The 12,907-nt window shown below is 36.8% G+C and overlaps 1 long non-coding RNA gene across 2 annotated transcripts in view; it reads right to left on the bottom strand.

The window, feature by feature from the left end:
• The window catches only part of LOC105379144 (uncharacterized), a 142,695-nt gene that overhangs the window by 61,768 nt on the left and 68,020 nt on the right, over nucleotides 1-12,907 (bottom strand). The gene's annotated exons all lie outside the window — the stretch shown is intronic.

Here is a 12,907-nt window from a genome sequence, read left to right as displayed (position 1 = left end):
CTCAACTTTTGTTTCATTCAGATGAAAAGACAACTAACCTCATTTTAAAACACAGACTTCTATGTCTCTTTGTGCACTATGTGTTGCAAATAAAGAAGAGTTGTGAGTATGAGAAGCAAAATAATGTTAGTATTAAAACATAAAGAAAAATAGCAATCAGTTTGAGAACTATGAGAGAGATTATAAGAAATTTGCCCTTAAGACTGTTTCTGTACTGTTTCTCAAAGAGAGTAAATAAACCCTTCACGGTAGATGCTATTTTTATTTTGAAACATTTGCAATTTTCTACTTCTTATATTTCAAGAGCAAGAAATAGGATACCCATTATTAATCTTAATAATATCAGGAGAACTATACTGTTTTACAAACAATAAACTTTGGTATGAACTAGCCCATTTAAATTGTAAGCCCTTTTTTACATTTATTACTTAAATCACTGCTTTGTTTTTTCCCTGAAGCTGTAGAGGAATTTGAGGGGGTTAAGTATTTTGGAAGAATAATCTTTTCTGTATTTTCTCCCCAGGATCAAATGATTCAAATGGACTTCCTTTTCAGGGAGAAACAAAGACTGGGTAACATAGCTGACTGTCCCATTGACTAAATTTTTTAAATGTAGGATAAAGTATTGAAAACATTACATAAAATATATATTAAAAGGATGGCAAACATAGAAGTTTGAAGACAAAAAAGAAGAGAAAGACTAAATATGAGTGGAAAGAAGAACACTGAATACAAATACTCGATAAAAACATTTGCCATTCATGGTTGGCTGTGGAATGTGGTTATCAACGGTCTCTTAGTGTTCAGAAAACACATGAAAAAGCAGCAGGGCCTGCCCAAGGTGTGAGTATCTAATATAAGATGCCCCCATTTATTTGGACCCAAGATCTGTACTGTCCAATACTGTAGCCACCAGCCACATAGGGATATTGAGTACTTGGCACCTGTCTGATGATATTGAAAAACTAAATTTTAATTTTATTTTAATTAATTTTAATTTAAAAACTGATACTCAATTCAGTTATTTGAAAATTTTAGCTATGTTTGGGACAACCTAGGCATTCAAAACTACTTTTTCAACTGTAACATTTTTAAAACATAAACACCGATACTTTTTCAATAAAACTGTAATGTTGGAACTGATCTGTGCTCTGTATGAAGAACCACATTTCAAAGACTTAGTGTGAAAAAAATGTAAAAATCTCATTAATAATTTCTATATGATTATATACATATTAAAATAATATTAAAGAAAATATATGACTAATTATTTTACCTGTATCTTTTTATTTTTTAATATTGCTACTAGAAAATTTTACATTATGTATATATGGCACATGTTACATATCTGTTGAGCAGTGCTGGCCTAGCAAATTAATGCCCAATGTACATGTAGACTAAAAATGTGTTTACCAAACACCACTAGCAAGGAAAATTGTCTGCCTTGAACTTTAATGATGGGAAGAGGAGGAAAAAAACAAACAAAAACCTCCCAAATCCAGATTTTTATTTGCTGCAGCCTGAATTAATACTACCTAGGTAGTCTAAAAACCATAAAGCCAGTAATTAAGTTTCAGGTAGCTCCAACTTTGCAGTGCATCCAAGAAACTGGCAGAAATAAACATAAGTCTTCTCTAGATGAACACAATTTTCATAAATAAAGTTAAAAGAAGATGAGCTTAAATCAAAAATAACAAAACATACCTGGAAACAAAGCACCACGATCAAGAAACAAGACCAAAAAGCAGGCAAGAAATGAGACACACAAATACTTTAAAATCAGACAGATAATAGTGTATCATTTATTTATACAACAGAGTATCACAGAGTGTTTTCTATTTGGCAAATATTGTCCTATATTCTTAAAATACATTAGTGAATAAAACAAAGAAAACTCTCTGTCATCAAGAAGTTTGTATAAACAGACATCTGAGGAAAATGATAGATAGGAGACAGAACTAATGTGCAGCTCCCACTCAGACGGACAGAACAGCATGTGGAGACTCACGCAGTGAACTTTTGCTCCAAGAACTACCACAGGAACATGCCAGGAAAACCTAAAGAATTCACAGACCCTTTAAAAGGAGCAGATTGCTGCTATAAACTCTGTGAGAGAGCCATAAAACTGTGAGTTCCCAAAGTGTGAGAGAGGCAAAAGTCTACCTCCAAACAAACATCCCCACTGGGGAACCTGAAAATCCCAGTCATGGGAGAAAGATTTAACCTTACCTAGAGCTGAAATGGATTTTGGGAGCTGAGCGAAAAAGTAGAAAAAGCAGTGGGAACCTGTAGGAACTCCTGATCCAAGCTCAAACTCAAGGAAGCCATTCCTGGCCTTTTCTCACAGGGGTCCTTGGGAGTGGAAGGCAGGAGGGGCCACAGGGTGACGGAAACTCCTAGTTGAAATTGTAGTAAGTTTGACTAAGCACAAATTTTCCTGAGCAGATTCCGGGGGATAGGGGGTGAATAGGAAGTACAGATATAAATACAGAAGCCAAAGCTAAAGGTTCAGGCAGGTGGGGAGGGGTGAGGCCTGAGAGCTTTGTTTGCTCTCTCAGTGGGGAGGATTGTAGCCTGGGAAAGATCTCATCCCTGCTCGATGGCTGCCTGGATATAAACTCAGTGCAGTTGGGGGTTCTCAGTGGGAGTGAGACTGGCCTTGCTGGCTGCATGGGGGCTGTGTCAGGTCTGTCACTGCTGGCTTTACCCCACTTCCCTGGCAACCTGTAGGACATAACAGAGGCAGCCATCACTCCCCTGGGACCATAATTCTGTTGCCCTGAGAACCACCCTCCCATCCCCCACAGTGGCCACAGCAAGCCCTACCCAAGGAGAGTCTGAGCTCAGACCCACCTAAACCTGCCCCCACTTGGTTTTTCACTACCTGCCCTGGTAGCCAAAGACAAAAGACATAAACTCTTGGGAGCTCTATGCCCCTGCCCATCACCTGAGAAACTCAAGTACTTATTCTGACCAACACAGGGCAAGATTATATCCCGTTTCTACTACTGCCGCTGGTGCTTTCTTGAAAGTGCCACCTCCTGGCTGGAGGCCAACCAACTCAAGCCATTACAGCAACTTATAACCAAACAAACCTACTCCAAAGAAGGATAAAACAAAAGCTAACTCCACTGCCTGCAACACCTTGACTAACCAGAGGACCTGAGTTTGTTCATGTGACAATTCTACTGCTAGCATAACCAGCATTTGAGAAAACCAGTGCACTAAACAAAACTACAACTAAGGACTCACACAGAGCCCACTTTACTCCCCTGCCACCTCCACCAAAGCAGGTGCTGGTATCCATGGCTTGGAGACCTAAAGATGGATCACATCACAGGACTCTTTGCAGACATTCCCCAGCTGGGTGGCTAGACCCAGTAAGCCCAGAGCCCAGTAACCCTGCTGGGTGGCTAGACCCAGAACGGCAATAACAATCACTGCAGTCTAGCTCTCAGGAAGCCCCATCCATAGGAGAAAGGGGAAAGCACCACATCAAAGGATTACCCCCAGGACAAAAGAACCTGAACAGCAGTCCTTGAGTTCCAGATATTTCCACTGAAACAGTCTATCCAAATGAGAAGGAACTAGAAAAGTAATTCTGGTAATATGACAAAATGAGGTTCTATAACACCTTCAAAAGATCACTAGCTCTCCAGCAATGGATCCATACCAAGAAGAAATCTCTGAATTCAGAAGGTTGATTAGTAAGCTACTCAAGGAAGTGCCAGAGAAAACTAAAAACTGAATTAAATAATTTTTTTAAAAAATACAGGATACAGGCGAAAAAGTCTTCAGAGAAATAGGTATCATAAAGAAAAGACAATCACAACTTCTGGAAATGAAAGACACACTTAAATGTAAAATACGCTAGAAGGTCCCAGCAACAGAATCAAAAAAGTAGAAGACAGAACTTCAGAGCTTGAAGACAAGGCTTTCAAATTAAACCAATTCAACAAAGACAAAGAAAAAAGAACTTTTTAAAAATGAACAAAGTCTCCAAGAAATTTGAGATTATGTTAAATAACCAAATACAAGAATAATTGGTATTTCTGAAGAAGAAGAAAAATGTAAAAGTTTGGAAAACTTATTTGAGGGAATAATTGGGGAAAACTTCCTTGGTCTTGCTAGAGATGTAGACATCCAAATACAAGAAGCTCATAGACTGCACTCCAGTGTTTATTACAACACTATTCACAATAGCCAAAATTTAAAAGCAACTCAAGTGTCTGTCAACAGATGAATGAATAAAGAAAATGTAGTGCTTATACAAAATGGAATACTATTCAGCCTTTTAAAAAATGAGATCCTGTCATTTGCAACAATCTGGATGGAACTGGAGGTCATTATGTTAGGTAAACTAAGCCAGGCACCCAGGAAATTCATCCCCAAAAGATCATCACTTAGGCACATAGCCATAGTTAGGTTATCTAAAGTCAAGACAAAGGAAAGAATCTTAAGAGCTATGAGGCAAAAGTATCAAGTAACTTATAAGAAAAACCTATCAGATTGACAGTCGATTTCTCCACAAAAATGGTGCAAACCAGAAGGGAATGGGGTCCTATCTTTAGCCTCATTAAGCAAAATAATTATCAGCCAAGAATTTTGTATCCAGCCAAACTAAGCTTTATAAATGAAGGAAAGATGAAGTCTTTGTCAGAAAAACAAATGCTGAAAAATTTCAGAAAAACAAATCCTGGAAAAATGTGCAACTACCAAGCCAGCACTTTAAGAAATGCTAAAAGAAGTTATAAATCTTAAATCAAAACCTTGAAATACCCCAAAATAGAACCTCCTTAAAATTTAAATTTCACAGGATCTGTAAAACAATAACAAAATGGAAAAAAAAAGTATTCAGGCAATAACTAGCATGAAGAATGGAACAGTACCTCACATCTCAAAACCAATATTGAATATAAATGGCCTAAATACTCCACTTATTAAAAGACACAGAATGGAAGAATAGATAAAACTCCACCAACCAAGTATCTGCTGTCTTCAAGAGACTCACCTAACACATAAGGACTCACATAAACTTAAGGTAAAGGGGTAGAAGAAAGATATTCCATGCAAATAGAAACCAAAAGGAAGCAGGAGTAGCTATTCTCATATCAGACAAAACAGACTTTAAGGCAACAACAGTTAAAAAAGACAAAGACAGACATTATATAATGATAAAATGATTAGTACAACAGGAAAATATTATAATCCTAAATATATATGCACCTAACACTGGAGTTCCCAGATTTGTAAAATAATTACTACTAGAACTAAGAAATGAGATAGATGGCAACACAATAATAGTGGGAGACTTCGGTACTCCACTGACAGCACTGGACAGGTCATCAAGAGAGAAAGTCAACAAAGAGAAAATGGACTTAAACTATACCCTAGGAAAAATGGACTTAACAGATATTTACAAGAAAATTCTACCCAATAACTGCAGAATATACATTATTTTCATCAACACAGGAAACATTCTCCAAGATAGACCATATAACAGGCTACAAAACAAGTCTCTATAAATTTAAGAAAATTAAATTATATCAAATACTCTCACAAACCACAGTGAAATAAAATTGGAAATTAACTCCAAAAGGAACCCTCAAAATTACACAAATACATGAAAATTAAATAACCTTCTCCTGAATGATCTCTGGGTCAACAATGAAATCAAGATGGAAATTAAAAATTCTTGGAGCTGAATAATAGTGACAACACCTATCAAAATTTCTGAGATACTGCAAAAGCAGTACTAAGAGGAAAGTTCACAGCATTAAATGCCTTCATCAAAAAGTCTGAAGGAGCACAAATAGACAATCTAAGCTCACACCTCCAGGAACTATAGAAACAAGAACAAACCAAATCCAGCAGAAGAAAAGAAATAACAAAGATCAGAAAAGAAATAATAAAATTCAAACAAAAAAAATACAAAAGACAAATGAAACAAAAAGCTGGTTCTTTGAAAAGATAAACAAAATCAATAAACCTTTATAGAGGTTAACCAAGAAAAGAAGAGAGAAGATTGAAATAGGCTCAGTCAGAAACTAAATAGGAGATATTACAACTGATACCACAGAAATACAAAAGATCATTCAAGGTTACTATGGATATCTTTATGTGCAGAAACTAGAAAATCTAGAGGAGATGGATAAATTTCTAGAAATATACAACCCTCTTCAACTAAACCAGGAAGAAATAGAAACTCTAAACAGACCAATAACAAGTAGTGAGATTGAAACAGTAATTTAAAAATTGCCAAAAAAAAATCCAGGACCAGATGGATTCACAGCTGAATTCTATCAGACATTCAAAGAAGAATTAGTACCAATCTCACTTAAACTATTCCAAAAAAATAGAGAAAGAAGAAACCCTCCCCAAATCATTCTATTAAGCCAGCATTACCCTAATACTAAAACCAGGAAAGAATGTAGCAAAAGAAAGAAAACTACAGACCAAGATCCCTGATGATCATAGATGCAAAAATCCTCAACGAAATACCAGCTAACTGAATCCAACAGCATATCAAAAAGACAATACTCCATGATCAAGTCAGTTTTATACAAGAGATGCAGGGTTGGTTTAACATATGCAAGTCAATAAATGTGATACACCACATAAACAGAAGTAAAAACAAAAATCACACGATCATCTCAATAGATGCAGAAAAAACATTTGACATAATCCAGCATTGCTTTAAGAATAAAACCCTTAGCAAAATTGGCATAGAAGGGACATACCTTAAGGTAATAAAAGCCATCGATGACAAACCCACAGCCAACAGTAAGTATATTGAAAAGGGAAAAGTTGAAAGCATTCTCCCTGAGAACCAAAACAAGACAAGGATGCCCACTTTTACCGCTTCTATTCAACATAGTACTGGAAGTCCTAGCCAGAGCAATCAGACAAGAGAAAGAAATGAAGGACATCCAGATTGGTAAAGAGAAAGTCAAACTGTCACTGTTTGCTGATGATACGATTGTATACCTAGAAAACCCTAAAGACTCATTTTAAAAGCTCCTAGATCTGGTAAATGAATTCAGTAGACTTTCAGGATACAAAATTAATATACACAAATCAGTTGCATTGCTATACACCAACAGCAAGCAAGCTGAGAATCAAATCAAGAACTGAACCCCTTTTACAATAGCTGAAAATTAAAATAAAATACTTAGGAATATACCTAACCAAGGAGGAGTAAGACCTCTACAGTGAATACAACAAAACATTGCTGAAAGAAATCACAAATGACATAAACAAATGAGAAACACATCCCATGCTAATGGATGGGTAGAATCAACATTGTAAAAATGACCATACTGCCAAAAGCCATTTATAAATTCACTGAATTTCTTATCAAAATATCATCATCATTCTTCACAGAACTAGAAAAAACAATCCTAAAATTCACACAGGACCAAAAAAGAGCCTACACAGCCAAAGAAAGACTAAGCTAAAAGAACAAACCTGGAGGCATCACATTACCTGACTTCAAACTATACTACAGGGCTATAGTCACCAAAACAGTATAGTATGGGTATAAAAATAGGCACATAGACCAATGGAACATAATAGAGAACCCAGAAATAAAGATAAAAACTTACAGCCAACTGATCTTTGACAAAGCAAACAAAAACATAAAGTGGGGAAAGAACACCCTATTGAACAAATGATGATGAGATAACTGGCAAGCCTCATGTAGAAGAATGAAACTGGATCCTCATCTCTCATCTTCTACAAAACTCAACTCAGGATGGATCAAAGACTTAAATCTGAGACCTGAAACCATAAAAATTGTACAAGATAACATGGGAAACTCTCTTCTAGATATTACCTTAGGCAAAAAGTTCATGACCAAGAACCCAGAAGCAAATGCAACAAAAAAAAAGATAAATAGATGAGACTTAATTAAATTAAAAAGCTTCTGCACAGCAAAAGAGATAATCAGCAGAGTTAGCAGACAACCCAGAGAGTGGAAGAAAATTTTCGCAAACTATGCATCCGACAAAGGACGAATATCCAAAATCTACAAGGAACTGAAACAAATTAGTAAGAGAAAAACAATCCCATCAAAAAATGTGTGCAGGACATAGACAATTCTCAAAAGAAGATATACAAATGGCCAACAAATACATGAGAAAATGCTCAACATCACTAATTACCAGGGAAAAGCAAGTCAAAAACTACAATGCAATACTACCTTTCTCCTGCAAGAATGGCATAATTAAAAAATAAAAAAAAATAGATGTTGGCATGGATGTGGTGAAAAAGGAACACTTTCACACTGTTGGTGAGAACATAAACTAGTACAACCACTATGGAAAACAGTATGGAGATTCCTTAAAGAACTAAAAGTAGAACTACAATTTGACCCAGCAATCCCACTACTGGATATCTACCCAGAGGAAAAGAGGTCATTATATGAAAAAGACACTTCCAAACACATGTTTATAGCAACACAGTTTGCAACTGCAAAAATATGGAGGCAGCCAAAAGGCTCATTAACCAATGAGTGGATAAAGAAAATGTGGTGAGTATATATACTATGGAATACTACTCAGCCATAAAAAGAAATGAAATAATAGCATTCACAGCAACATGGATGGAGTTTGAGACCATTATTCTAAGTTAAGTAACTCAGGAATGGAAAGCCAAACATCATATGTTCTCACTTACTAAGAGAGAGCTAAGCTATGAGAATGCAAAGGCATGAGAATGATATGATAGACTCTGGGGACTTGAGCGGGAGGTGGGGAGGCCATGAGGGATAAAAAACTACACATTGGGTACAGTACACATTGCTTGGTTGATGGGTGCACCAAAATCTCAGAAATCTCCACTAAATAATTTATCCATTTAACCAAACACCACTCGTTCCTCAAAAACTATTAGATAGTAATAATAATAATAAAGTTTGTAGAAATACAGTGTTTAAAAATTTTCAACAAATTTAATTATAAAATCTAATTGCTTTTACTAGAAGTTCATGAGTCAGGCAGCATCCATTTTAAGGATTTAGAAAAGGTGCTCTGATGAGCAGAGCAGAGGAGGTGGGCTTCACAGGCAGAAAAGAGCTGAAAAAGCAGAAACAAGGAATAAAAAGGTTGGTCACTTTAAAGACACTTTCCTGATAGATTTCAAACGGAGAGGACTTCCATATTATGCTGGCTCAGGTTAACTGGGCCCTTTTTTATTAGTTGCTGTAATATCCTGTTTTAAGGAAAAGCTGGTATGTTGAGGATTCTTCTTTTTATCTTTTTTAAGGCTTCAGTTTGATTATATGACACTAGTGATTGTATTTTGCTCTGCTCTGTTGGAGCCTACTGCACAAGCTCAGCCCAAAACAATGGCATGTCATAAATTTTACTTTAAAATATATGTGTGAAATAGTGTAAAACATATTTTAAAATTTGAAGTATAAAATATTCAAACATGAAAAATAACAAAATTAATATTAAATAATAAAAGTCCAAACTGACAGAATGAGAAATAAGAAATCATAAAAATGAGTAAATGAAACTTATAAAAACATTTTAAGATCAAAATTTTGAAAATTAGATTCTGGGGATGGAGCCAAGATGGCCAAACAGGAACAGCTCCAGTCTACAGCTCCTAGCGTGAGTGACACAGAAGATGGGTGATTTCTTCATTTCCAACTGAGGTACTGGGTTCATGTCACTGGGGAGTGCTGGACAGTGGGTGCAGAACAGTGGGTGCAGTGCACCGTGCATGAGCCAAAGCAGGGCAAGGCATCGCCTCACCCTGGAAGCACAAGGGGTTAGGGAGTTCCCTTTCCTAGTCAAAGAAAGGGGTGACAGATGGCACCTGGAAAATCGGGTCACTCCCACCCTAATACTGCGCTTTTCCAATGGGCTTAACAAACGGCACACCAGGAGATTATATCCCGCACAAGGCTTGGAGGGTCCTACGCCCACAGAACCTCACTTATTGCTAGCACAGCAGTCTGAGATCAAACTGCAAGGCAGCAGCAAGGCTGGGGGAGGGGGGCCGCCATTGCTCAGGCTTGAGCAGGTAAACAAAGCCGCAGGGAAGCTCGAACTGGGTGGAGCCCACCACAGCTCAAGGAGGCCTGCCTGCCTCTGTAGGCTCCACCTCTGGGGGCAGGGCACAGACAAAAAAAAAGACAGCAATAACCATAGTGTTGGAAGTTCTAGCCAGGGCAATCAGGCAGGAGAAGGAAATAAAGGGCATTTAATTAGGAAAAGAGGAAGTCAAAGTGTCCCTGTTTGCAGATGACATGATTGTATATCTAGAAAACCCCACCGTCTCAGCCCAAAATCTCCTTAAGCTGATAAGCAACTTCAGCAAAGTCTAAGGATACAAAATCAATGCACAAAAATCACAAGCATTCTTATACAGCAATAAGAGACAGAGAGCCAAATCATGAGTGAACTCCCATTCACAATTGCTTCAAAGAGAATAAATAACTAGGAATCCAACTTACAAGGGACATGAAGGACCTCTTCAAGGAGAACTACAAACCACTGCTCAAAGAAATAAAAGAGGATACAAACAAGTGGAAGAACATTCCATGCTCATGGGTAGGAAGAATCAATATCATGAAAATGGCCATACTGCCCAAGGTAATTTATAGATTCAATGCCATCCCCATCAAGCTACCAATGACTTTCTTCACAGAATTGGAAAAAACTACTTTAAAGTTCATATGGAACCAAAAAAAAGCCCGCATCGCCAAGTCAATCCTAAGCCAAAAGAACAAAGCTGGAGGAATCACGCTACCTGACTTCAAACTATACTACAAGGCTACAGTAACCAAAACAGCATAGTACTGGTACCAAAACAGAGATATAGATCAATGGAACAGAACAGAGCCCTCAGAAATAATTCCGCATATCTACAACTATCTGATCTTTGACAAACCTGACAAAAACAAGCAATGGGGAAAGGATTGCCTATTTAATAAATGGTGCTGGGAAAACTGGCTAGCCATATGTAGAAAGCTGAAACTGGATCCCTTCCTTACACCTTATACAAAAATCAATTCAAGATGGATTAAAGACTTACATGTTAGACCTAAAACCATAAAAACCCTAGAAGAAAACCTAGGCATTACCATTCAGGACATAGGCGTGGGCAAGGGCTTCATGTCTAAAACACCAAAAGCAATGGCAACAAAAGACAAAATTGACAAATGGGATCTAATTAAACTAAAGAGCTTCTGCACAGCAAAAGAAACCACCATCAGAGTGAACAGGCAACCTACAGAATGGGAGAAAATTTTTGCAACATACTCATCTGACAAAGGGCTAATATCCAGAATCTACAATGAACTCAAACAAATTTACAAGAAAAAAACAAACAATCCCATCAAAAAGTGGACAAAGGATATGAACAGACACTTCTCAAAAGAAGACATTTATGCAGCCAAAAAACACATGAAAAAATGCTCATCATCACTGGCCATCAGAGAAATGCAAATCAAAACCACAGTGAGATACCATCTCACACCAATTAGAATGGCAATCATTAAAAAGTCAGGAAACAACAGGTGCTGGAGAGGATGTGGAAAAATAGGAACACATTTACACTGTTGGTGGGACTGTAAGCTAGTTCAACCATTGTGGAAGTTGGTGTGGCAATTCCTCAGGGATCTAGAACTAGAAATACCATTTGACCCAGCCATCCCATTACTGGGTATATACCCAAAGGATTATAAATCATGCTGCTATAAAGACACATGCACACGTATGTTTCTTGTGGCACTATTCACAATAGCATGGACTTGGAACCAACCCAAATGTCCAACAATGATAGACTGGATTAAGACAATGTGGCACATATACACCATGGAATACTATGCAGCCATAAAAAGTGATGAGTTCATGTCCTTCGTAAGGACATAGATGAAGCTGGAAACCATCATTCTCAACAAACTATCACAAGGACAAAAAGCCAAACACCACATGTTCTTACTCATAGGTGGGAATTGAACAATGAGAACACATGGACACAGGAAGGGGAACATCACACACCAGGGACTGCTGTGGGGTTGGGGGAGAGGGCAGGGATAGCATTAGGAGATATACCTAATGCTAAATGAAGAGTTAATGGGTGCAGCACACCAACGTGGCACATGTATACATATGTAACAAACCTGCACGTTGTGCACATGTATCCTAAAACTTAAAGTATAATAATAATAAAAAAGATCAAAATTTTACAAATTCATCACTTGATTAAACAATTGATTATATATTAGAGGTATATATAATACTAGATGTATATCACTATTGCATGTCTACATGTGTGCATGTAATGCACAGAGAGATAAGGAAATCAAAATATAAAAAAGAATTTAAGAGACATGAGAAAGGAACTCTCACATGAGAGTTCCAAAAAGGGTGAAAAGACAAAGTAAAAAAAGGGCAATTTTCAAGACAATATTACTGAAGATTTTCCAATATGTTGATAGATATCATCCTGCTGATATAATAAATCTAGTTAATCCAGAGCACAATAAATAAAAAGAAATCCATGCTCTGGATAATATATTAGAAAAAAAAAAAAACCCACACAGCACCAAAGACAAAGAAGAATTTAAGAACACTAAAGAAAAATTTAAAAGACAAATTTCCTACATAGGAATAAAAATAAGACTGAAAGCTGGTTTCTCAATAACAGGAATAAAAACCAGACAACAAATAAATGGTCTCTCCAATGTCCTTAAAGAAAATAACTGTCATTCTAGAATTGTATTCACAGAGAAAATAACTTCCAAGAATTAGGGTAAAATATATGAATTTTTTAAACACACACAAACTTAAGTTTGGCATGAATAGAACCAAGAAATTCAAAAATTTTCAAGCCGAAGGAAAATAATCCAAAATGGTCATCTGAAATGCATGAAGGAATACTGAAATGGAAA

The sequence above is a fragment of the Homo sapiens genome, chromosome 5, assembly GCF_000001405.40.
Source record: "Homo sapiens chromosome 5, GRCh38.p14 Primary Assembly".
NCBI classification, from domain to species: Eukaryota; Metazoa; Chordata; class Mammalia; order Primates; family Hominidae; genus Homo; species Homo sapiens.
Note: the sequence above shows the minus strand (reverse complement) of the source record. Positions and strands in the feature narration are given on the sequence as shown.